Source organism: Homo sapiens, chromosome 6 (assembly GCF_000001405.40).
Source record: "Homo sapiens chromosome 6, GRCh38.p14 Primary Assembly".
Taxonomy (NCBI): Eukaryota; Metazoa; Chordata; class Mammalia; order Primates; family Hominidae; genus Homo; species Homo sapiens.
In genome coordinates this window covers 29,966,980-29,990,771 of record NC_000006.12, presented here as the reverse complement: position 1 = coordinate 29,990,771, position 23,792 = coordinate 29,966,980, and the positions used below count along the sequence as shown (strand labels likewise).

General features: G+C 45.2%; 1 long non-coding RNA gene and 1 pseudogene across 1 annotated transcript, besides 2 other annotated features; one reads left to right on the top strand and one right to left on the bottom strand.

Moving 5' to 3' along the window:
* Positions 1 to 12,368: 12,368 nt before the first annotated feature.
* HCG9 (HLA complex group 9) lies at positions 12,369 to 15,657 on the bottom strand. Its single transcript, NR_028032.1, has 3 exons — positions 15,255 to 15,657; positions 13,055 to 13,118; positions 12,369 to 12,554 (listed from the first exon to the last, which is right to left on the bottom strand). It is a non-coding gene; the product is annotated as an HLA complex group 9 (long non-coding RNA).
* Positions 14,580 to 15,229: an enhancer, noted in NCBI's record as "H3K4me1 hESC enhancer chr6:29943320-29943969 (GRCh37/hg19 assembly coordinates)". NCBI's record gives its function as "activates a minimal SCP1, AML or CMV promoter by ChIP-STARR-seq in primed H9 embryonic stem cells {active_cell/tissue: H9 hESC(primed)}" and the evidence as "EXISTENCE:reporter gene assay evidence [ECO:0000049][PMID:30033119]".
* MICD (MHC class I polypeptide-related sequence D (pseudogene)) lies at positions 15,027 to 20,400 on the top strand (annotated as a pseudogene).
* Positions 15,230 to 15,880: an enhancer, noted in NCBI's record as "H3K4me1 hESC enhancer chr6:29942669-29943319 (GRCh37/hg19 assembly coordinates)". NCBI's record gives its function as "activates a minimal SCP1, AML or CMV promoter by ChIP-STARR-seq in primed H9 embryonic stem cells {active_cell/tissue: H9 hESC(primed)}" and the evidence as "EXISTENCE:reporter gene assay evidence [ECO:0000049][PMID:30033119]".

Sequence of the window (23,792 nt, the reverse complement as noted above, 5' to 3'; positions counted from 1 at the left end):
ATTGGATGAATATACTGGTTGGTTGAATACTTAGTAAATATTTTCACGATTCAACAGGTTATTGCTTCATTCTGTTGGATGTTTCCTTTGCTGTGCAGAAGCTTTTTAGCTTAATATAGTCTCATTTGTCTATTTTTACTTTTTTTGCCTGTGCTTTAGAGGTCTTAGCCATAAAATCTTTGCCTAGACTAATGTTTCCCATAAGTTTTCTTCTAGTAGTTTTACAGTATTGGGTCTTACGTTTAAGTCTACAATCCCTTTTGAGTTGATTTTTTGTATATGGTGAGAGACAGGGGTCTAGTTACATTCTTCTGCATCTGGTAGCATTTTCCCAGCACCATTTATTTAAGAGACTGTTCTTTCCCCAGTGTATATTCTTGGTTCCTTTGTCAGAGGAACTCCTTTGAGAGTTCTCATTAAGAAGCAATGTTTAGTTTCACCAAATGCTTTTTCTGCATCTATTGAGATGATAATATGGTTTATGTCCTTCATTCTGTTGATGCGGTATATGACATATTTTGATTCACATATGTCAAACAATCCTTGCATCCTGGGTATAAAACTCACGTGATTATGGTGTATTGTTTTGATCTGTTGTTGGATTTTGTTGCTAATATTTTCAATTACTATTTTTTATTACTAACGTTTAAATTTTTATTGTAAGCATTTTAAACTTGTAAAATTTACATATACTGAAATGATCAGATCTGTATCAAATTCATCAATGAATTTTGACAAATACAGCCATAGCACCCATGCCACTATGAAGATACACGAAGTTCTCTATTTTTCTGCCTTCAAATTAGCCCCCTTTCCCCAGCAGCCATTGATCTGATGACTATCATGATAGAGTAGCTCTTCCTGTTTCAAAACTTCATACGTATCCATTCATCCCATATGGCCTCCCTTGTGCCTAGCTTTTTGCACTTGGTGTAATATCTATGTGGTCTGCCCAGCTTGTTGCATGTATCAGTAATTCATTCATTTTTAATGCTGGTAGTATTGCATTGTATCACTGAGTCACAATTTTTTTGTACATTTTGGGGGTATTCACGGTTTTTTATTGTTACAAATGAACTATGGACATTATTGTACAGGGATTCTTGGACATAATCTTTATTTCACTTGAGTAAATACCTAGGAGTGGAAATGCTAGCCATAGAGTACTAGCTTGTTTAACTTTATTAGATGATATAAAAGTGATTTTCAGAGTGGCTGTTTTATATTCTTATAGGCAGTGGATGAGACTGTTTCACATCCTTGACAACATTTATATTTATTAATCACTTAAATTTCAGCCATTCTAATAAGTGCTTAGTGGTTTCTCGCTGTGGTTTTACTTTGCATTTTTCCCTGATGACTATTGGCCATTCATGTGTCTTTTTTGTAATGTTTCAGAAGATTTCTCTAAAGATTGTGGAAGGAGCTAAATAAACATGATTTCTCTTTCTCTAAGTGCTAGACCTAAAGTGGAATGTTTAGAATCCATCCACGCTTCCCAGTCTGGCCTACTCAATCCCATATTTGCCCCCTAAAGTCCCCACTCCTTCATCCCTCTTTTATATTTTATCCTCTTCATTCTGGCTCAAGCTCACACTCCTCCAGGAAGTCTGTTACTGTGAAGGTCACTGACATGCTCAGTATTGTCATCTCTCCATCTGTCTGTACCTCTGTGCAGCTTTCCTCACACTCAATAACTCTTTTCTTATTTTGCTCAGTTCCTGTGGATTCACTTCACAAACATTAATTCAAAGTAGTTCCAGCTGGAAGAAAGAATAGAAAATTATAAAAAATCTTTGTGAAGGCACCACCCAGGTTTGTCAATTGGCGACATTTTAATATTATTGGCTATATGTAGTATACATAGAAAAATAATAGAAATATATGTAGATAGCCTTGATTTTTCACAGCTCTGATATGCACATGTTTCAGTCAGTACTGTACTGAGCAAATCAAGAATTGCAAGAGGATGTGTGACTTGAATTTAGTGTATGCCTTTATATTTTTACTAAGTTTTAGGAAATCTCTTTGTTTGAAGTCTTTTAGACTTGTTTTTTTAGAACAGGTCTCCTCACTCTGTCACCCAGGCTTGAGTGCAGTGGCACAAACACAGCTCACTGTACCTCAACCTCCCAGGCTCAAGCGATACACCTACCTCAGCCACCCAAGTAGCTGGGGGTATAGCTATGCTCCACCATGCCGGGCTAATTTTTGTATTTCTTGGAGAGAGGGTTTTTGCCATGTTTCCCAGGCTGGTCTTGAACTCCTGAACTCAAGCGATCCACCCACCATGACCTCCCAAAGTGCTAGGATTACAAGTGTACACCACCTTGCCTGGCTTTGCTTTTAGACTTCTTATAAATTGTTTCTGGCTAATTTTATCATTCATTTGCTTGCTTTTTCAGTTAACATGTTCTATGACATGAATCTATGTTCATACAAATAGTTCATTTGCTTTCATTGGTGGATAGTATTCCATGGGAGGAATATACTACAATTCTTCTCTTTCCCTCTTCATTGACCTTTAGATTTTCTCTATTGTAGACCTCACTGCAATGAACATCCTGGGACATTGCCTCCTGCTCTCAGAGATATGTGAGTTTCCCTAGAATATGCATATAGGAGTGGGGTCACTACAGCTTTTCCATATGATGTTACATGATGCAAAATTGTTCTCTGAAAGAAATAATCCAAATGCCTATCAAGAGGGGGCTGATTAAAAAGCACCGCACTCAAAAGAAGCAATCTCTATTTTTTTTTTAAATATTGCATATATATACAATGGTGTATCATGAAAATTTCAAACAAAGATGTAGCTAAGCTCTTGGTATTTCTTCATGTGATGGTCTTTGTGATACAATGTGAAGGGAAAAGGCAAGGTGCAGGAAAGCATATGTAGTTTGCTAAAATTTGTGTGAAATGGGAGAAAGATTATATACATATACATTTAGATTGACTTGCATATGCATAAAATGCCTTTGAAAGAATAAGCAAGAAACTGATATAAATAGCTGCCTGTCAAGATGGGGTAGCATAAGAGAGAGACTTTTAACTTTTTGAGTTTTGAGCCAAGTCAAAACATAAAATAAAAGATAATTCCAAGGCAGACAAAACAAACAAAATCAAATCCTTCAAAATAAAAAACTTAAAAAAAGAGCCTAACAGAATTAATTCTCTTACCTTCCTTAATTAAAAAAAAAAACTGTCTAAAAATTATATCACTTCTCAAACAAGGATGTTTCCTGTCACTTTAATTCAGTATGTTGTTTTCTTTTTCATTGCACTATCTTTCTTTATGTGTGTGTCTGTCTTTCATTCATTAAAAGTCAAAATGAGAGCATGGTTACTTCACAAATGCAACCGGTTTGGTGAAGGAAATTTTGACCAAATCCTGATGTAAATGGTGAAGCCCAATCTACAAGGAATTCTACGGGGTCCAATGTACCAATTGTGGCTTCAGCAGGCTCAGAACTTCCTCTACTGTCCATGTGAGCTCAAGTATGTGATATTTAGAAAAGAGAACACTTGGTAATTCTCCTGGAAAACACACGATTGAATCCATTTGCTGAATTTGGAAGGTTCTCATTATGAGCCCATTCTAAGTATGTGTCATATGAGGTCACCCTGTATTTGGATCAGAAGGTATAGTCAGAGCTCACATCCCAGGCCCAAACAGCCCAGGACAGCAGAGCAAGACTCGTAGGTCAGTTTCATAAGGGGTGGGAAGGATTGGGGGTGTGGGGGCCACTTGTGAAGTAGTGGGAACCCCAGATGCTGTGTGAAGCTCAGCCTCTGGATTGCCCTGTAACCCCACATTTGATTCCTTCCTGGGTGTCTGCCATTCCCGGGATCCCAAGGAAATCAAATGCTGCAGACTTGGGTGGGGTGCTCTCCAAGATGGCCCATGCATGGTCTAGTTTATCCTATACCTTTGCCTGTCAGCCCTCTTCTGATATTAGAAATCAATATGGATTGCCTTAGGGTGGTGATTCTCAAAGTGTGTTCCTGGGACAAGTAGCATTGGCATCACCTGAGGACTTGTTAGAAATGCAATTTTCAGGCCCTGCCTCAGACCTACTGAATCAGAAACTGCATTTTAACGGGCCCCCAGCAGAATTCTGCATTTCAAATCAGGCCTCTCTCTCTCTGTCTCAAGACTCAATATTGAGCAGCTGTGACTTCTGGATAGTCATATATGGGACACACTTCCTTGCCAGGAAGCACCTGGCTCCTCAGTCAGCTTAGTCTGAGTCCTGGCCTGGCCTAGGAGAGAAAAATTCATGTCCTGGGTTCTGAGCAATGCTCTCCTGTCCTGGATGCCTGTCAGACTCCTATTTATACCTCAAAACGCAGCTCAAATGTTGTGTCTTATGAAGCTTCTGTGACTCCTTGGTCAGAGCAGATGGTCTACATGTGCATCCGCAAAGCAAGTTGCATATTCTGCCAACCATTTGTGTAAGAATTTCCTTACTGGCAACAGAGTGAGACTCTGTCTAAAAAAATAAATGAATAAATAAATAAATAAATAAAGAGTTTCCTTACTGATCTCTGCCTGAGCAAGACGGCTTAACCTTGAAGGCAAGGGGGGTTTGGTTCCTCTTACCTCAGCCCCAGCTCCTTTAACACAATGCCTAGCACATGGTAGGTGTTTGATAAATGTTTACCAAATGAAGGGATTTCCTGCAATGACCTAGGAGACAAGAAGGTGGAATAAAAGCTCACAAGCCAAAAGTGGGTGGGAAAAGGTCTTCCAAATCCCAGTGCTGTGTGAGCACAGGGCCCACTGATGTTCACTTTTAGAAGCTTCCCATCTATCTTGTTCTCTTCTCACCAGAAACATCTATGCTTCCCCACCAAGGTCCACCTAATCGCACTTTACCTTTCAGGACCACCTTTCAAATTAGCTGGGTACAAACTCCACAGCAACTTCCTGCCTTAGCTCCAAATACTCAGCTGCAGGCCTGGTGTGGGGCTTCATGCTAATCCTAGCACTTTGGGAGGCCGGGGCAGCAGATCACTTGAGCCCAGGCCTTAGAGACCAGCCTGGGCAACATGGCACAACCCCATCTCTACAAAAAACACAAAACATTAGCTGGGGCTTGTGGCGTTCACCTCTAGTGACAGCTATTCAGGAGTCTGAGGTGGGAGGATCTCTGGGGCCGAGGAGTTCGAGGCTGCAGTAAGCCGTGATCATGCCACTGCATTCTAGCCTGGATGACAGAGTAAGACCCCATGTCTAACAAACAAAAACTACAACTCTGAGGCTAATTTGGTGGGAGTTAAGAGCTTATCCTACTGCGGTGTCACTATGAGTGATATTGGGTGGCTTTAAGATTAGGGGGTGTTTACATTTCTAAAAAGAAAATTGCTCCACAAAGAATGTAAAGTTTTGGTGTGTGCAGGGGTGGGGTCTTCAGGAGAAAAAAGGCAATAGCTCCAGTAATACTCAGTAGCTGACTGTCCTGCCCACCTCTCACCCAGAGCCTAGGCAGGGGCTGGATTCTCACCTCAGCCCCTCCTCAGCGTACCCTGGATGTGGATGGTCCCTCAGTGTGAACCCACCTGGGCTCTGACTGTGGCTGCTCTTCCCACTGTTATGGAGCCTTAGTGGGTGTGGCGCATGCAGGGGGCCTGCTCAGGAGACCAAGTGCCCTTTAAGTCTCAAGACCTACATTTTTGAAGCACCCATGTCAGATGTTCAGGATGGAAGGGACTCAGATGCTCAAATCATAATAAAAGAAAGAATCCATCCCACTCTCTCAGGTGTGGTGGAATTAAAATTAAATGACAATCAGTAATCTAAAATGATCATATTCTCAGTGTTGACTTTATCATTCAGCCGACGCCTATAACCCAGGGATGGATGAGGCATTGTGGAGGAAGAGTTTATTTCTTCTTTCTGAAGGCTCCATCAGCTGGAGTTTTTGCCCTATGACATGGAGAGGAGACTTTGCTTCAAGCTAAGTTAGGACTGAGCACAGTGGCTCACCCATGTTATCCTAGAACACTGGGGAGGCTAAGGCAGGAGGATCACTTGAGCCCAGGAGTTCAAGACCAGCCTGGGAAGCAGTGAGATGTATTCTGTTCAATTTTTTTTTTTTAATTAGATGGTCATTTTGGGGCTTTCCTGTAGTCTTGGCTACTCTGGAGACTGAGGCAGCAGGATCACTTGAACCCAGGAGCTCAAGGCGGCAGTGAACTATGATCAACTCACTGCACTACAACCTGGGTGAGAGAGCAAGTCCCTATCTCTAAAAAAAGAGAAAGTGACCTGAGTTGGGACAGGACATTTGGACTTTTTCATTAAAATTGTATTTCAAATGTTGTAAAACTTCATAATCAGCATTTTACCCTTTTAGAAAGTAGAATCTGCTCAATTACAGAAAATATAAAAAATGTAGTGAAGCAGAAAGATGGAAAACACCTGTGTCCCCACTGGGAGGATCCGGATGAACCTCTGCCTGGCAGAGCCTCAGAGACGTCAGTGAAAAGGGGCCCTGGAGCTGTGCTTTGCAGCTGCCCCCTGAGTTTCCACCCCTGGTTTCTGTGCATGTGGTGTCTGTGCAGGATGACTTAGTGCAGTCACACTGTATGAGTTATTTTGAATCTTGCTTTTCAAATTTTATTATTATCAATAAGCAACTTTATATGTTATCATAAACTCTTCTTAAACAGTACTTTTCCTGGCTGTATACTATTTCCAAAAAATGACCCAGCTACTCTTCTTTTACAAGTTCTTCTTCCTTATTGTAAATAATATCTGATTAATATCCTTATACCTAAAGATTCTTCTATATTTTGCATTTCATTGTAGAATTATAGATTTCTCAAATATAAATTATTTGGTCAAACTGCATGAACTTTTTTTGCTTTGTTTTTGAGATGGAGTCTCACTCTGTCACTGAGGCTGGAGTGCAGTGGCACAATCTCGGTTCACTGCAACCTCCACCTCCCAGGGTCAAGTCATTCTTGTGTCTCAGCCTCCCGAGTAGCTAGGATTACTGGCGTGCACCACCACACCTGGCTAATTTTTTTATTTTTAGAAAAGACGGGGTTTTACCATGTTGGTCAGGCTGGTCTCGAACTCCTGACCTCAGGTGATCCACCCGCCTCGGACACACATGTTATAAAATTGCTTATCAAAAGCAGCATACCAATTATATTCACCCATCATTCACCTCTTATTTGTTAAGCCCCTCCTCTGTACTGGTATGTTCTAGATGCTAGGGATACAAGTGGTGGCTGGACAAGGTCCTGGCCTCAAATAATATGTTTTAGTGGTACAGACAACAACTTTCAAATTTATTCTAATATCAGTGATAATTGTTATGGAGAAAATATACTCGGGTTAGAAGATTGGTGGTGGTGAGGATGGCAGGAGATATATTTTGTTGGATAAGAGGTTCCTGAGAACTTGACTAAGGGACATTTGAGCAGAGAACTGAATGGCATGAGGAGTGAGCCATGTGGATCCCTAGGGAGCAAGTGCATGTGGGAGTACCAGCAGGGGCCGGTGGCAGAGACAGGATTGAGCAGTGACAAGAGACTGGTGCGAGTGCAGATGAGTGATCTGGGCTGAGAGTGGTGAGATGAGGCCAGAATGGCCAGAGGGGCCCCGTGTTGAGGGGCTAATAGGAAATGGAGAGAGGAAGGGAAGAGGCTGGAGTGTCTCTGGGATGTGGTGGTGAGGATGGGCTCTAATTCCCATTCGAAAGCTTCACTCTGCCTGTTGTGTGGGTGATGGACAGCTGCATGAGATGCAGCAGGCAGCCCAGCTGGAAGGCCCGTCGGATTTACTATCCTAGAGAGAATGGCTCTGGGGAGGAGGCAGTAGACGAGTGTGAAGTGATTGGTTTTGGGGTTAATACATTTTTCAGATGGTCTCAGCAGTTATTTAATAGAGAACCATTCATTTATTTCCACAGTTGATTCCAGATGGCTTACTACAACAAACCAAATAATAAATATACATGCATTATTTAAAAACCAACAAGGCCTGGCGCAGTGGCTCATGCCTGTAATCCCAGCACTTTGGGAGGCCGAGGCGGGCAGATCACGAGGTCAGGAGATTGAGACCATCCTGGCCAACACGGTGAAACCCCATCTCTACTAAAAATACAGAAATTAGCCAAGCGTGGTGGCGGGCCCCTGTAATCCCAGCTACTGGGGAGGCTGAGGCAGGAGAATCGCTTGAACCTGAGAGGCGGAGGTTGCAGTGAGCCGAGATCGTGCCACTGCACTCCAGCCTGGGTGACAGAATGAGACTCCTTCTCAAAAACAACAACAACAACAAAAAAAACAGCTGGGAAAATATAGACTTAAAATATTAAGGCTGGGGTAAAACTAGAACATTACTCAGCAAGAAGGAACATCTGAAACATTTGCAGAAATGGAGTTGACTGTTTCCCTAGCCATAGATTTGTTGGCTCACAATTGTGTTGCATCAGGGAGCCACAGAGGGGGGTGACAGTGCAGGTCACTTGGCCCTTGTTTCCTGTTTCAGGAATATTTTCCTGTTTTACACTTAAAGTCAAAGCAAATTTATGTAACTGTAATTTGTTCAAAAATGAAGTCAACAGCTAAAAAGTCAGAAAGTAAATGTACAAACCCCAGGGGTCTAAGGACAGTCTATATTTCTCCCCCAAAATGTCCTCACCCTGCACTATTGAATGGAGACAGTCCTTTCCAGGCGCCCTAAGATGCAGGGGCGACTGGGCTGCAGCCCTATCTACAGGTGTCCTTCTTTATACCTGCAGTTTCCTTTACACCTGACAGCCAACTTCACTGACCTCACCTGAGCTAGGAATTTGTTTTTTTGGTATTGGTTCTATTTGAGTCATTGTGCAGGCTTAAAACTGTGACATGGAAGTTTTGCTATAATGGTTTTTCTTTGATGGAATTTGACACGCACAGTGGCTCTGGCTTCCCTGTCACTCCCAGGAGAGAACGGAGTGTCCTGCACTTTTTTTTCAAGATCCCTGTGTAAGAGTGATCAAGAGACTTGGAGTCAGGGGCTCCTCCAATCTCACCCTCCTCTCTGATGCTTTCCAGCGTGGGGCCCTTGGCTCTCTGCACATCTGATTAATACAATTGTCTCAGCTCCTGAAATAAAAGCACAGGTGCACATAACACTGACTCCTGCGTGCAGTGCCAAGGTGGGGAGGTTTCCTGGATGCCAGGTTTAGCACTTTGACTCTCATTCACGCACACACACACACACATACACACACACTCTCTCTCATATACAGATACACACGCTAACTGATACACACAGGCACACACAGTCGCACACACATTCACACACATATTTAGACACACTCTCACACACAGATTCACACACACGGGCACACACACACAGGCACACACACACACACATGCAGCCTGAGTGAGCGTTGTGGGACAGGCTGACTTCAGGGGTGGAGTAACAGGAGTCTCTCAGTTCCTTCTCAGTGGACTTTGTCTCTTTTTCCTGGAGGTGGAGGAGTCTGTACTCCATGAGGGGAAGTCCTCTGAAGAAGGGGGGAGATACTCAGGAGCGGGGTCCAGAGATGGACAGGGATGGAGAAGTGGAGACAAAGCGGAGGGGGCGGGGCAAGAAGGGAGCCCACGAGGAATGGGGAGAGGGAGGACCTTCTAGAGGTCAGAAATATCACACGCAGAATTTGGTTCTTTGTTTTTGTGTTTTATTAAGATGGATTTAGTAAACCAGCCGAAGTGCAAGATATGGAGTCTACATTGCAAAGGACACGTCTTAGTCTCCTGCTAGTTTGAACTCATCAGTAGTAGCTAGGAGAAGAGTGCCAGAAGCCTTGCGTGGGGCGCGCAACGCCCCTTTGCAGCGACCCCATTCTCTGCATCCCACGGACCTCCCCACCAGGGACCATGTTGGTCCCCTCCCACCCAACAGGAAGGAAAGGAAGAAGTCTGAAGGCTTTGGATCCTCCCTAGCGCACTTTTTCTCGCCATTTATTCCCAGAGTGTCCTTGCCTCCGCTCCGCTATCCCAACCCCACTATAACAAAGCACATCCTGCGCGCTGGGGCCAGAAATCCTCCTTTGGCCTCTGACTCACTGGTGCCATTTCACTGTGTCCTGTCCTTCCGGCCATTGTCACTGGGTGAAGCCCCAGAGAGCTTGAGCTTGGAGCCCAAGAGAGCTGGATTCTTAGAGCGTAGCTGTCCGCACAAACATTCTTTTTTTTTTTTGGTCTTTATTATTATTATTATTATTATTATTATTATTATTATTATTATTATACTTTAAGTTTTAGGGTACATGTGCACAATGTGCAGGTTAGTTACATATGTATACAGGTGCCATGATGGTGTGCTGCATCCATTAACTCGTCATCTAGCATTAGGTATATCTCCTAATGCTATCCCTCCCCTCTCCCCCCACCCCACAACAGGCCCCAGAGTGTGATGTTCCCCTTCCTGTGTCCATGTGTTCTCATTGTTCAGTTCCCATCTATGAGTGAGAACATGTGGTGTTTGGTTTTTTGTCCTTGCGATAGTTTACTGAGAATGATGATTTCCAATTTCATCCATGTTCCTACAAAGGACGTGAACTCATCATTTTTTATGGCTGCATAGTATTCCATGGTGTATATGTGCCACATTTTCTTAATCCAGTCTATCATTGTTGGACATTTGGGTTGGTTTCAAGTCTTTGCTATTGTGAATAGTGCCGCAATAAACATACGTGTGCATGTGTCTTTATAGCAGCATGATTTATAGTCCTTTGGGTATATACCCAGTAATGGGATGGCTGGGTCAAATGGTATTTCTAGTCCTAGATCCCTGAGGAATCACCACATTGACTTCCACAAGGGTTGAGCTAGTTTACAGTCCCACCAACAGTGTAAAAGTGTTCCTATTTCTCCACATCCTCTCCAGCACCTGTTGTTTCCTGACTTTTTAATGATTGCCATTCTAACTGGTGTGAGATGGTATCTCATTGTGGTTTTGATTTGCATTTCTCTGATGGCCAGTGATGATGAGCATTTTTTCATGTGTCTTTTGGCTGCATAAATGTCTTCTTTTGAGAAGCGTCTGTTCATATCCTTTGCCCACTTTTTGATGGGGTTGTTTGTTTTTTTCTTGTACATTTGTTGGAGTTCATTGTAGATTCTGGATATTAGCCCTTTGTCAGATGAGTAGATTGCAAAAATTTTCTCCCATGTTGTAGGTTGCCTGTTCACCCTGATGGTAGTTTCTTTTGCTGTGCAGAAGCTCTTTAGTTTAATTAGATCCCATTTGTCAATTTTGGCTTTTGTTGCCATTGCTTTTGGTGTTTTAGACATGAAGTCCTTGCCCATGCCTATGTCCTGAATGGTAATGCCTAGGTTTTCTTCTAGGGTTTTTATGGTTTTAGGTCTGACGTTTAAGTCTTTAATCCATCTTGAATTAATTTTTGTATAACATGTAAGGAAGGGATCCAGTTTCAGCTTTCTACATAGGGATAGCCAGTTTTCCCAGCACCATTTATTAAATAGGGAATCCTTTCCCCATTGCTTGTTTTTCTCAGGTTTGTCAAAGATCAGATAGTTGTAGATATGTGGTGTTATTTCTGAGGGCTCTGTTCTGTTCCACTGATCTATATCTCTGTTTTGGTACCAGTACCATGCTCTTTTGGTTATTGTAGCCTTGTAGTATAGTTTGAAGTCAGGTAACGTGATGCCTCCAGCTTTGTTCTTTTGGCTTAGGATTGACTTGGTGATGCAGGCTCTTTTTTGGTTCCATATGAACTTTAAAGTAGTTTTTTCCAATTCTGTGAAGAAAGTCATTGGTAGCTTGATGGGGATGGCATTGAATCTATAAATTAGCTTGGGCAGTATGGCCATTTTCACGATATTGATTCTTCCTACCCATTAGCATGGAATGTTCTTCCACACAAATATTCTTGAGATTTCTTCAGATCTGAAAGTCAGCCTGAGTTTTTAGACTTGCTTCTGAGTTTTAGACTTTGGCCCTGGGAAAAAGGAAATCAGTACTCCAGGAACAAGATTTTCCTCGACTTTGTCTCAACCCAAAGACGCTATAGCAGCGCAGTTTTCAAACGTGCTTTGAAAATAAATGGGACAGTGTGTCCACACTGGATTTTGCCTTTCCCTTTTTATTACAGCCCGCCCCTTTTGTAAAATTGTTACACATCTCTCTACTGCACTAAAAACGGCTCTATCAAAGATACTTTGAGAAAGATTTAATGACATGAAAATATGAAGCCCCCTTAAAAGAGAGTTTCTGGAGTTGGGTTTTAATTAACACTTTGGTTTTTAAAATCCTGTAACTATTTGGGTGTGTGGCTTATCTTTATAATATTTTCAAACAAATATTTTTTCTTAACCACCACACAAATCCAAGTTTATTATTTTTATTTTTAAATTTTATTTATTTATTTCTGAGACAAGATCTCTTGCTGTCACCCAGGCTGGAGTGTAGTGGTGAGATCATAGCTCACTGCAGCCTCGAACTCCTGGGCTCAAGCTATCCTTCAGCTTCCAGAGCTGGGATTACAGGCCTGAGCCACCGCGCCTGGCCAAAATCCAAGTTTATTCTGTAATATAAAATTCCAACATTTCAGAGAAGGTGAAAGTCACAACGTTATCCCAGTCCCTGGGGTCCCTGTCAAAATTTTGGGGAATAATCCTCCATGTTTTCCCCTACTTAAAATATATATTATGTAAGTGGTATTACTGGTATTATAATTCCATATATCCTCGTCCTTTTAAAAATGGATAAAAGTAGGCTGGGCACAGATCTTCTCATAACAATACTTACAAATTTATCCTCCTCTTTTTAAGGACTGCGTGGAATTTTATCGCGTGGCTATTCTTTAGGGGACTATGGAAATGTTATTTCTTTATCTTCATTGTGGTAGTGGATATGTGGGTGTGTAAAACAGCCAAGCAGTACAACTCAATGAGCTGTGCATTTCAAATAGATACACTGATTGTGTGCAAAGTATGTCCCAATAATGGTTTAAAAATATTATTCTATTTGAGATTTGTACTTTGATTTTGTAAAACAAAACAAAACCCTTGTTCTTGCACCCACGAGATGCACCCTGGCACATCTGGAGGTAGAAGCTCATGTTCTCTGCAGCTTGACCTCGCAGGCTCTGAAATAAGAATAATAAGCCGTATATTTACAGATTCACACACAGAGAAAAAAAAGCTTTGGTAAAAATGTTCATAAATAACAAAACTAGATAAAGGGCAAAAATAAAATTAGAAATAATAAAACTACATCTTTCAGATATTATTCTCACCTTCACCTTTTCTCTCCCCTTTTCTCCCTCTCCCTTCCTTTCCTCGAAATGTCCCCCCATCCTTCCCTCCTTTCTCCATTCTCTGCATTTGATCCCCATGTATTCCAGCCTCGAGGCAAACACACGTCACCGCGTCCGCCTGGGGCAGGTCAGGGAAGGGACGCGAGGCAGCCGTGTCTCCGCATTCTGTGAGCGGCAGCGCCCTGGGCCTCGCTGATCTTGTGTCATTTCAGTGACCTTCGCTCTAGTCTTTGACGGGGCCACACTCGGGGTGTAAATTAGGATCCTCACTGAAGGCGCGCGACCCTGAGAGGCTTTTTCCTGGTCCCTTAGTTGTGAGTTTTCCTGCGGGCGGCGGAGCCCGTTTCCACCAGAACCGCCCAGAGGCCGGCGCTGCCTTCCTGGGGTGACGGAGCAGCTGGAAGCGTTTTCGGATCCTGGAATCAGTGGGCGGCCCGTGGGAGGGGCTGAGGCGCAGTTCCCTGCTCACCCGGCTCCGAATCCACCGCGGTGCTGTTTCAAGCGAGTCAGATTCCAGATCGCGCTCCAGCCGGGACTCGGAATTCCTGCCCCGTGGGTCTGCATTTTCACAGCGGCAGGTGTGAGTGCCGCGCAGCTGGAGACCAGAACCCTGAAGGCAGCTCGGCCCTCCCCAGCCCACAGCGCCGTTATTCCGTTTCTATATCAGTAAACACTTGTCATTTTCCGTAGACCAGGGCGGGGTGATGGGTGATCCCAGTCCTCGCAGTGAACTCCGGGCCGCAGTCCTGAGAACGCGCTCGGGCGCCCAGCGCAGCCGCGTCCTGAGTTACACACGCGACCACGCTGGGCCTTTTCTCTTTCTTTTCCGGACCCAGCAGTGGCGCCTACAGTCTGCGAGGAGAAAATCACCTTTGTGCTGGTAAGTCCAGGAATCTAAGGCGAGTGCTGAGGGAGAAAACGTAGTTGATGGCTCAGAGCAGAAGGAGCTGGAGGTAGGGTAGAGGGGGAGGGCTTTGGACAGAAAAGACCTGGGAGATTTGGTTGGGGAGGGGCAGCCAGGCCTAGACCCTGGGGAGCGACTCATCCAAAGTCCAAGATCATCACTGCCTCCCCTGCCCCAGAAAGGGAGGGATTGGCTTCATGTCTTGTCGCGATCACCTCTAAATGCGTTGGAACAAACTTTGCATATTATTATTAGTATCATCGTCATTGAAGTATTAAAAGTCTTCTTGGGGGTGAGCTGAATGAGATCCTTTGCTGGAACTGCCGCAGGGAGAAAAAGTCCTCGAGAGAGGGTAGACACTGTGGAGGGAAGAGCTTGGGACCAGCGTCAGGAGAGCTGGGTCCATCTCCCTCTCTGCCCCTCACTACCCTTGTGACCTTTAGCAGTGTAAATAATCCCTCTAAGGTGGGGACAAGACCCCAGTCCCTGCTGTGCTCAATAAATGATAATGCTCGAAATAAATAATCAGTGAATGTGGATGGGAAAACTAAGTAATTGTTAAAACTCTGTGGTGTATGACATTTTCATCTACAGAAAAGTGTAGGCTAGGGGTCCTGGGGAATGGTTAGTAATCATAGGTGGAGTTCCATTGGGAAAAAAAATGCTCCTAAAGCTGACGAAGATGGAAGGGACACAGTTCGTGATCATGGATGGTTCATTGTCTAATGGGGGTTGGTACCAGATGGTAAATGACAGCTGGACGTGGTGGCACTCGCTTGTAGTCCCAACTACTCAGGAGGCTGAGGTGGCAGGATTGTTCTAGCCCTCGGCTAGAGCGGGAGCGGCTTGGCGTTTCTGGGGGGTCTGAATGGGTCGCAGCGAGCGCGATGCGGTCGCGGCGGGGCTCAGGTGCGATGTGCAGCGAGGTGCGGGAGCTGGACGCTGCCGGTTGCCGCCACTCCTCAGCCCTGCTTTTCAGTCTCTTTTCAGTCCTCCTCGGGATCGCGCATCACCCCCACCCCCTGCACTTTCTGGTCTCTTCTTGCACTTGCTCTCCTCACCTCTCCTCCGCCTCCTCTCACTTTTCGGACAAACCAGCCCTTCTGAAGTCCCTGGGTTCCTGGGCTGTTCCTGTGAATGGCATTCGAGGGCCCTTCCAGCTCTGCCGCTGAGGCAGTCACATCCCCCGGTGCTCAGAGCGGCTCTCGGGTCCCTGAAGCCCTGTCCTCTCCCTGGAGTCCGCGTGTTCTCAGCTCCAGGGCGGGCCGCAGTCCCTGGAGTTGGGGCCCTCCTTTTTTCGGGACCAGGAGCTGGTGCTTCCTATTGCTGTGGGGACTATGGGGCTCCTGACTCTCAAGCTGAGGGGTTGGAGCCTGCCGGCTCCAGGCAGAGGATTCTTCCTGCGACTGCTCCCATCCCCAGCTCATTATCCCTTCGCCTCCCGTTCCCAGGGTTCTTTCCTCTCTGTCAACCCTCCCAGCTACTGTGGACTCCAATGATCTAAGGACACCAAGTTCCCTCCTACTTCCTCAGCTTCCTTTCTCATGGCCCCCTGGGTCCTGTTGCCCTCCCTGCTCCCTGCTACCCCTTTCTATCTGCAGTTCTCTGATCCATTTGTAGGGTGTCCTCTGCCCTCATCCCCTGCTCCCGTCCCTCCTGCCTCCCTTATGGGCCTTTCCTACAAGCAGCCTTCACCCAGTGCTGCCCCTATGCCTCTCCATTCCCAGCTGTCCCTGACCCTAACTTTCTGGTGCTGCCTTTTGTCGGGGGAGTCTTCCCTCCATCCCACTCCCCTCCAGGCCACTTAAGGGGAGCCCTGGTGCTAATGAAAGTTGGGCCTTAGGCAGGGCGCAGGGCAGCGCAGATGCCCCCTCCCCTCCAGTGCAGATGCCTGCTCTGGGCCCTGCCTCAGGTGACCCGTTCCCCACTCCTTCATCCTCAGCCTCACCCTCTTGAGGACCCCACCCTGAAACCCTCAGGTGCTGGACCATCCCTCCCTGGTCCCTCTGCCCCTCTCTGCCTTGGGACCTTATGCTGTTCCCACCTCTTGACCAGCTGCCTTCGGCCCTCAGCAAGTTCTCACCTTCCCCAAACCCCACCCTCCCCCAGACAACCCCTCCCTTCCTGTTCTCACTTTACCCCAAGTTCTCCCAGGGTCACCCCCACTTCCTTCTCATGCCACCCTTTAGTCCTTGCCCTGCCCATCTCCTCACCCCCACCCAGACCCAAAACAGGCTCTAGTCCAACGGCTCCTTGACCCTCATCCTCTTTCGGTTCCTTGACCCCGGTGGGCTGTCAGTTCCTAGACTTCATATCCAAAATCTTCACTTACCACATAGTGGGCTGTGGTCATCCCCTCCTCTGGGCCTTCTCCCAGCACCACCTTCCTCCTGTGAGGGTTTTCTAACCTGAGCCCTCTTTTGGAGTGTGACTGCTCCGCCTTCAGCACCACTCCTCTCTGAAGGCCCTTCCTCAGGCCTTGGTTTTTTTCTCTCTGACCAGGACCCCAGCCTCTTTCTAATTCTATATTATTGTTTGGTACGCGGTGACAATTTCTTTTTTGTTGTTTAATTGTTGTAAAATATACATATAAAGTTCACTATTTTCACCATTTAAAAGTGTACAGTTCAGTGGCATTAAGTACATTCACATTTTTGTGCATCCTGAAACTCTGTGCCTACTAAACAGTAGCTCCCCATTCCTCCTTCCCCCTGGCCCCTGGAACCACTGGTTCTACTTTCTGTCTCTATGAATTTGGTTATTGGGAATTATGCTGCTATGAACATGAGTGTTCAAATATCTTTTTAATGTTCCTGCTTTCATTTCTTTTGGGTAAATACCCAGATGTAGAATTTCTGGATTACATAGTAATTAATTTTTTAGTTTTTGGAGGAAGCAACACACTGATTTCCATAGCAGGTGCCCCACTTTGTCTTTCCCAATGTACTACACAAATGTTCCAGTTTCTCTACCTCTTTGCCAAACTTGCTTTCTCTCTCTCTCTCTCTCTCTCTCTCTGTGTGTGCGTGTGTGTGTGTGTGTGTATTTGATTATAGCCATCCTAATTGGTGTGAAGTAGTAGCCCATTGCAGTTTTGATTTGCATTTCCCTAATAACTACAGATGTTGAGCATCTTTTCATGTGTCTATTGGCCATTTGTATGTCTTCTTCGGAGAATTGGCTATTCAAATTCTTTGCCTACATAGTTTTTTTGAGTCTTATGTTTGTGTTACAGGAATTCTTTATGTATTCTGGATATTAATCTTTTATTAGATAAATGATTTGCAAATATTTTCTTCCATTCTAATGGTTGCTTTTTCACTCTGCAGATTGTGTTTTTTAATGCTCAATTTTTTTTATTTTGATGGGTCCAACTTATCAATTTTTTCTTTGTTGTCTGTGCTTTGGTGTTATATCCATAAAAGTGTTGTCAAAACCTATGTCATGAAGATTATTCCCAATGTTTCATTCTAAGAATTTTTCAGTTTTAGTTCCTGAGTGTAGGTCTTTGATTTATTTAGAGTTAACTTGTATATGTGGTGTAAGTCAGGAGTCCAACTTCATTTCTTTTTGCATGTGAATGTCGTTTTCCTGGCACTGTTTCTGGAAAAGATGCACTGATCCTCCCTTACTCCCATCTTGTACATGATGAGCCTTCCTCAAAGGCAGCGGCCCGCGACTCCATCTCACCCTCACCTGTGTAGCACAGCCATGCTGGTCATGGGTCCCTCTGAGCCTGGGTCCCTTCCCATTTCCACCCTCCCCTCTGGCAAGACCTTCCTTCCACCACTGCCTTCGTGCTCCTCCCTCACCACTGCAGGGCAGCCTCTCTCCTTGGCCTCCTCCCTATACCCTTAGGTGGCCTGTAGCCACCCTGCCTTGGCAGCTGGCCTACATGTTTGCCATCTCCATTCCCCCTTCTTCTGTTCCTCAGTCTGCTCCTCCATCCTCCTGCCCTCCCAGTTTTCCTTGTATCTGAAATCCTCATTCTTGTCCCTTTGCATATGTACATTTCCTGCCTCCTCAGAAAGGTTGAGACAGCAGACCTGTGTGTTAAACATCAATGTGAAGTTACTTCCAGGAAGAAGTTTCATCCGTGGTTTCTTGTTCCCCAGGGCCCCACAGTCTTCATTACAACCTCACGGTGCTGTCCCGGGATGGATCTGTGCAGTCAGGGTTTCTTGCTGAGGGACATCTGGATGGTCAGCCCTTCCTGCTCTTCAACAGGCAGAAAGGCAGGGCTGGGTCCCGGGGACAGTGGGCAGAAGCAGTTCTGGGAGCTGAGACCTGGGACACAGAGACTGAGGACTTGACAGAGAATGGGCAGGACCTCAGAAGGGCCCTGGCATATATCAAGGGACAGAAGGGAGGTGAGAGGTGGCAGCAGGCAAGAGTGATGGGAGACCTTTTCCAGGAGAGCTGGGGGCAGAGAGCAGGGACCTGTCTGTCCCCACTGGATCTGGCTGGGGGCAGGGGTGAGGAATAGGGGTCAGCAGAGCTCGGTGGGGAGGTAACCTGGCACTCAGCCCACACAGAAAGGCATGGAGGAGGGCCAGGGAGGGGTCTCCTCTGGTCTGAGTTCCTCACTTGGAACTGCTGGGTGGGGGTAGCCTTGCATTCCCTCCAGGAGATTAGGGGTTGTGAGATCAGGAAGCCAGCAGCACCAGGGGCTCTAGGCTTTCCTACTCTTATGGGTAGCTCTTCCTCTCTCTCAACCTGGAGACTCAGGAATGGACAGTATCCCAGTCCTCCAGAACTCAGACCTTTGCTATGAACATCACAAATTTCTAGAAGGAAGATGCTATGCCGGCCGAGACACACTCTCACCCTATATGGGTAGACTGCAGGCAGAAACTACAGCAGTATCTGGAATCCTGTGTGGGTGTCAGGAGAGCAGGTACTGGGCCTGGGTAGGGGCTTTCCTCTCCCCTATTCCACTAGAGTCACCCCGACCCCCAACTCTGTCCAGGGAAACCCTCCTTGTGCTATGGATGCATGTGTTTTCTGTTGGTGTGTTATATCCTGATTTTTCTCTCCTGTTAGAGCCACTGGAAAAAGACAGTGGGTCAGGGATTGAAGGGTCCAGTGTCACAATCTGGGGAAGCAGTGGGCCCTCTGACAGAAGCCTGAACCTGGGTGGGTGTCAGGCAGGAGAGGAAGCCCCCAGGGCCAAGGCTGCCCCATCTGCTTCCCAGCCTGCCCATCCCTAAGAGTTCCCTCTGGCCCCATGTACCAGGAGCCCAGCCCTGACATTCCCCTCCTCAGCATCAATGCAGGGATCCCAGAGCATAAAGACACAGTCTCGAGGCCCATCCTTCTGCCAGCCTTGAGGAATTGGTCCCCAGGGTGAGGACAGACTTGCAGAAGGTCTGGGGTCCGTGAGGACTTCTGCCAGAGTCGGAGCAGTGGAGCGGACCAGCCCTATTCCCTGCATCTCCATTAGAGGGGAGCAGGGTTTGGCCATGTGCCTCATTGTCTCTGCCCTTTCTTCTCCAGTCCCCCACTCCTCCACCATGAGTGTGGCCTGCAGTGAGGCCCTGGAGGGCAACATCACCCTGATATGCTGGGCTCTGGCTTGTATCTCCAGAATATCTCTCTGACCTGGTGACAGGATGGGGCGTCTTTGAGCCAGGATGCCCAGCAGTCTTGGGGTGTTCTGTCCAATGGGATGGGACCTACCACACAGAGGTGGCCTGCAGGATTCCCCAAGGAGAGGAGCAGAGGGTCATCTGCTCCATGGGATACAGCAGGAATCACAGCACTCACCCTGTGTCCTCTAGTGAACCTGGGACCACCCTTGAGGGTTCCAACATAAGGAGGATCAGGCCAGGGTGGGGGCAGCAGGAACGGCTGTGGCTGTGGGTGCCCAGTGTGTAATAGGCCCTTTTTTTCAGGGATGGCCCTGGTGCTTCAGAGTTGATGACCAGCCATTCCATATGTTGCTGCTGTTGCTGCTTTCATCATCATTAGTATTATTAGTAGTATTATTATTCTCTGTGTCCTTTGATGCAAGAAGAAGACAACATCAGGTGCAGAGGGTCCAGGTGAGAAAAGGGGACAGTTGCTAGAGATGGGAGGGTCCCTGTCTGGGCTGTAGGGTCCCCTCATACCTTCTGTGCAGATAGGCTTGTAGGTGACAAGGCTTCTGGAACAGGCGATGAAAGTTGGGGTATTTGGGAGGGGAATGAGAGCCACGTTGCCATCTACATCCCTGTGAGAAAGAAACTCACCCATTCAAACCCAAAGAATAGACTCAGAGACCCAGAGAACAGCGAAAGAGAGACTTTTAATGACAGTCTTGCAAGATCAGGTGTCTGGAGTGCAGGTACACCTGGGACAGTTTCAACAAACTATTTCTTCCCTAGTGTGCAAGTCCCTTCCCCAATTCCTCATTAGCTGAGTACTACGGGGTTATAGTCTTCCTGGGCATCACCTATTGGTAGTTGTATTAAGACTTCAGGTATGTTCTTTAGGGTCTTTTTGCTGCATTTTTTGCTGCATTTTGTTGCAGCCACCCATAATACATGGCAACTGTCTCAAGACTCTGAGCATTTGACTTACGGCCTTAGTGACTGCACTTAGGTGATGGCAAGCTAGCCCAAACTAAATTCTTTGGTGAGGTGGGGAGGGGGGTCATTGAGGGGGCCCTGACCAGTAGGCTCCTGGACACTGGGTCAAAGGGAAAGCAGGAAGGAGGGGATTGTGGCTTAGTATATTTTGCTTCTTTATCTCTTTGTTTCCATGTGGCCTGCTTAAACATATTCTAAGGCACTTATGAAAATGAACCTTCTTCACATGTAAGTTATTTTTTACACTTACCTCCTCTTTTTCTTTTTACCCTTTTTGGTCTTATTTTCACTTACATATCTTTGTTTATTAACTGTTCTGGAAGTTTTTTACTTTCTTCATTATAGGAGGAGAAGTTTAGTTTGGCTTTTAATAATAGTAAGTCATTCTGTTGGGACATTAGGGGCATTTGTTTACTAATAGCTGCTTTAATTAACCTTTGTGTTAAATAAACCCTTCACACAAGGTATGATACAACATCCTATGGCTGTTAAGACCCCAGCCATAATCACGAGAGATGTAAGAATTGAAGGTACCATTCCTTTCCATTTTTCAAACCAACCTTCTAACCAGTTAGTAAAAAGGTCATTTACTCCTGTGTTTTCTGCCAGCTCGTTGACTAGAGTTGTTAGTCCCTGCCATCCCTTTATGATGGTTCCATTTGGGGCAGCATTGTTGTGAATGGAAGTGTCACATTTTCCACCCAGCATATCACATATATCACCTTTCTCTGCTAATATTATGTCCAGTGTAATTCTGTTTTCCCAAGCCATTTAGCTAGTGGCATTTAGTTGTCTGGCTACTCCCTTAAGGGCATTTTGCGTGTAATTGATGAATCTTTGCTGATTATAAGACATGTAATTAATCTAATTTACATTCTTGTTAATAGTTGACCACCAGAAAAGTGCTGACTCAAATCTAGCAGGTATTTGGTTTCGTGCTTTAAATTTATTAGGCACTCCTCTAGGTACTCCTATGGAGTTTAGATAGATAAATAGATAGATAGATGGATAGATAGATATACAAAGCTTTCATCCACTGTTCCAGAAGCCTTGTGTGTATGTGTGTGTGTATATATATATATGTGTGTGTGTGTGTGTATATATATATGTGTGTGTATATATATGTATATGTATATGTTTGTGTGTGTGTGTGTGTATATATATATACACACACACATTATATATGGGTTAAAATAAATTGCTAAATTACTCTGATCTCTATGACCATGTGTATTTTTAGCTGTTTCATGGAATGACAGGGTGAACGGAATGGCCAATTGTACTAAAGCACAAGTCCCGGTCCAATTGGACGGTAACAAGTTACGGAGGTTCCCTTTCCCGAAATACCACCAGACATTTGCCTGGGGTATATGGAGAGTTGAATGGTTGCCACAGTCTGGGTTACCAGTGACATTTAGGATGTGGGTGCAGGTTGCGAGTTTTCCCACAGGTTTATCGAACCTCACCTTCTGTCTAGAGTGACAACAGGAGTGATTTATATTCCCTATAGAGAATGAGGGGATTGCTTTAGGATCTGATCTCTGCAAAGTGGGAAAGAGCAATGACAGACTTTTACAAGTCTTATTTCCCCATGCAACCTTGTCTTGGTATACAGCCAACACGCAACACATTCCTTTGGGATTAGTATCCCCTCCAAGGGGAAATGGAACCACCTGTGCCTGAGGTTGACCAGCAGCACATGCATAACAGTTACTTTTATCGAGGGCTTGTGCTGAAAATTTCACCCATTTAACACAGGCATTTATGTCTCTATATCCTGTTTTAATTTTTAAAGTCTGCCTTAAGTCAGTTACTTTAATTATTTTTACTCTCTTAGGTTTATTGTTTGGTGGGTTAAAGGAAGTTAATGGGACCAGGAGTTCTAGTAATTCTGGGTGGGCTTGGGGTAGAGTTGGTGACTAACCTAAAAGCTAACCGTCCCACGGGATTCCTTTCTGAGATATTTATTTTTAATTTATACCTTCAAGATTTCTGGTTTAGAGTAGCTGGGTTGTTTATAGTAATTAATATAGGATTGCACTTTAAATTTTTACAGTTAGGTGGCGTGTGGTTCTTATACAATACTTAGGTTTCCTTTCACCCCTTGTGTTAGGATTAATTCTAACCATATCAGCCCCCAGTGATGGAGCCTGCTTATGGCTTACTTTTAGGTTTTCCTTAGAATTAGCTTAAAGGGTTTCTTAGGTGATCTATACACTTCCAATTTACCTTCCGTTTTTTTTTTTAACCAGTTTCTTGACCCGAGTGTAATGTGTCCACCCCTGATCAGCTGTTTGTACAGCTGCCTCACTTGATAAGGACCTTCCCAGCTTGGGTGGAGCTTGTCTTCTTTCCAAGTCTTAATTAGCACTGAGTTGCCAGGCTGGAAGTGGTGAACTGTGAACTCAAGGGGTGGGGTTTGTGTTACAAGTTCTTTTAACCTTAAGTTGTTTCCTGGGAGTTCACACAATTCCCACACACTTGTTTAGCCAGGGCATACATTTCTATACACCCATAATTCTTTAGTATTTCATCACACATGTCCTGGGGACCCCAATGACTTCCCTTATGCAATATAGACATTAGATTTTTTTTTTCTTTTTTTAGACAGAATCTCGCTCTGTCACCCAGGCTGGAGTGCAGTGGCACGATCTCGGCTCACTGCAAGCTCCACCTCTTGGGTTCATGCCATTCTCCTGCCTCAGCCTCCCGAGTAGCTGGAACTACAGGCACCCACAACCACGCCCCGGCTACTTTTTTGTATTTTTAGTAGAGACAGGGTTTCACTGTGTTAGCCAGGATGGTTTTGATCTCCTGACCTTGTGATCTACCCGCCTCCGCCTCCCAAAGTGCTGGGATTACAGGCATGAGCCACCGCACCCGGCCAACATTAGATTTTTTATTATGGGTTTGTTTATTATTTCTCTCCCATCAGGGAGCACTCACCTTCCATTCTTAGTTTAAGTGGCTCCTATCTTGCCTAGCTTTTCCTCCTCTTTTGAAAATTGGGGTTTTAATATCACCTTAGGG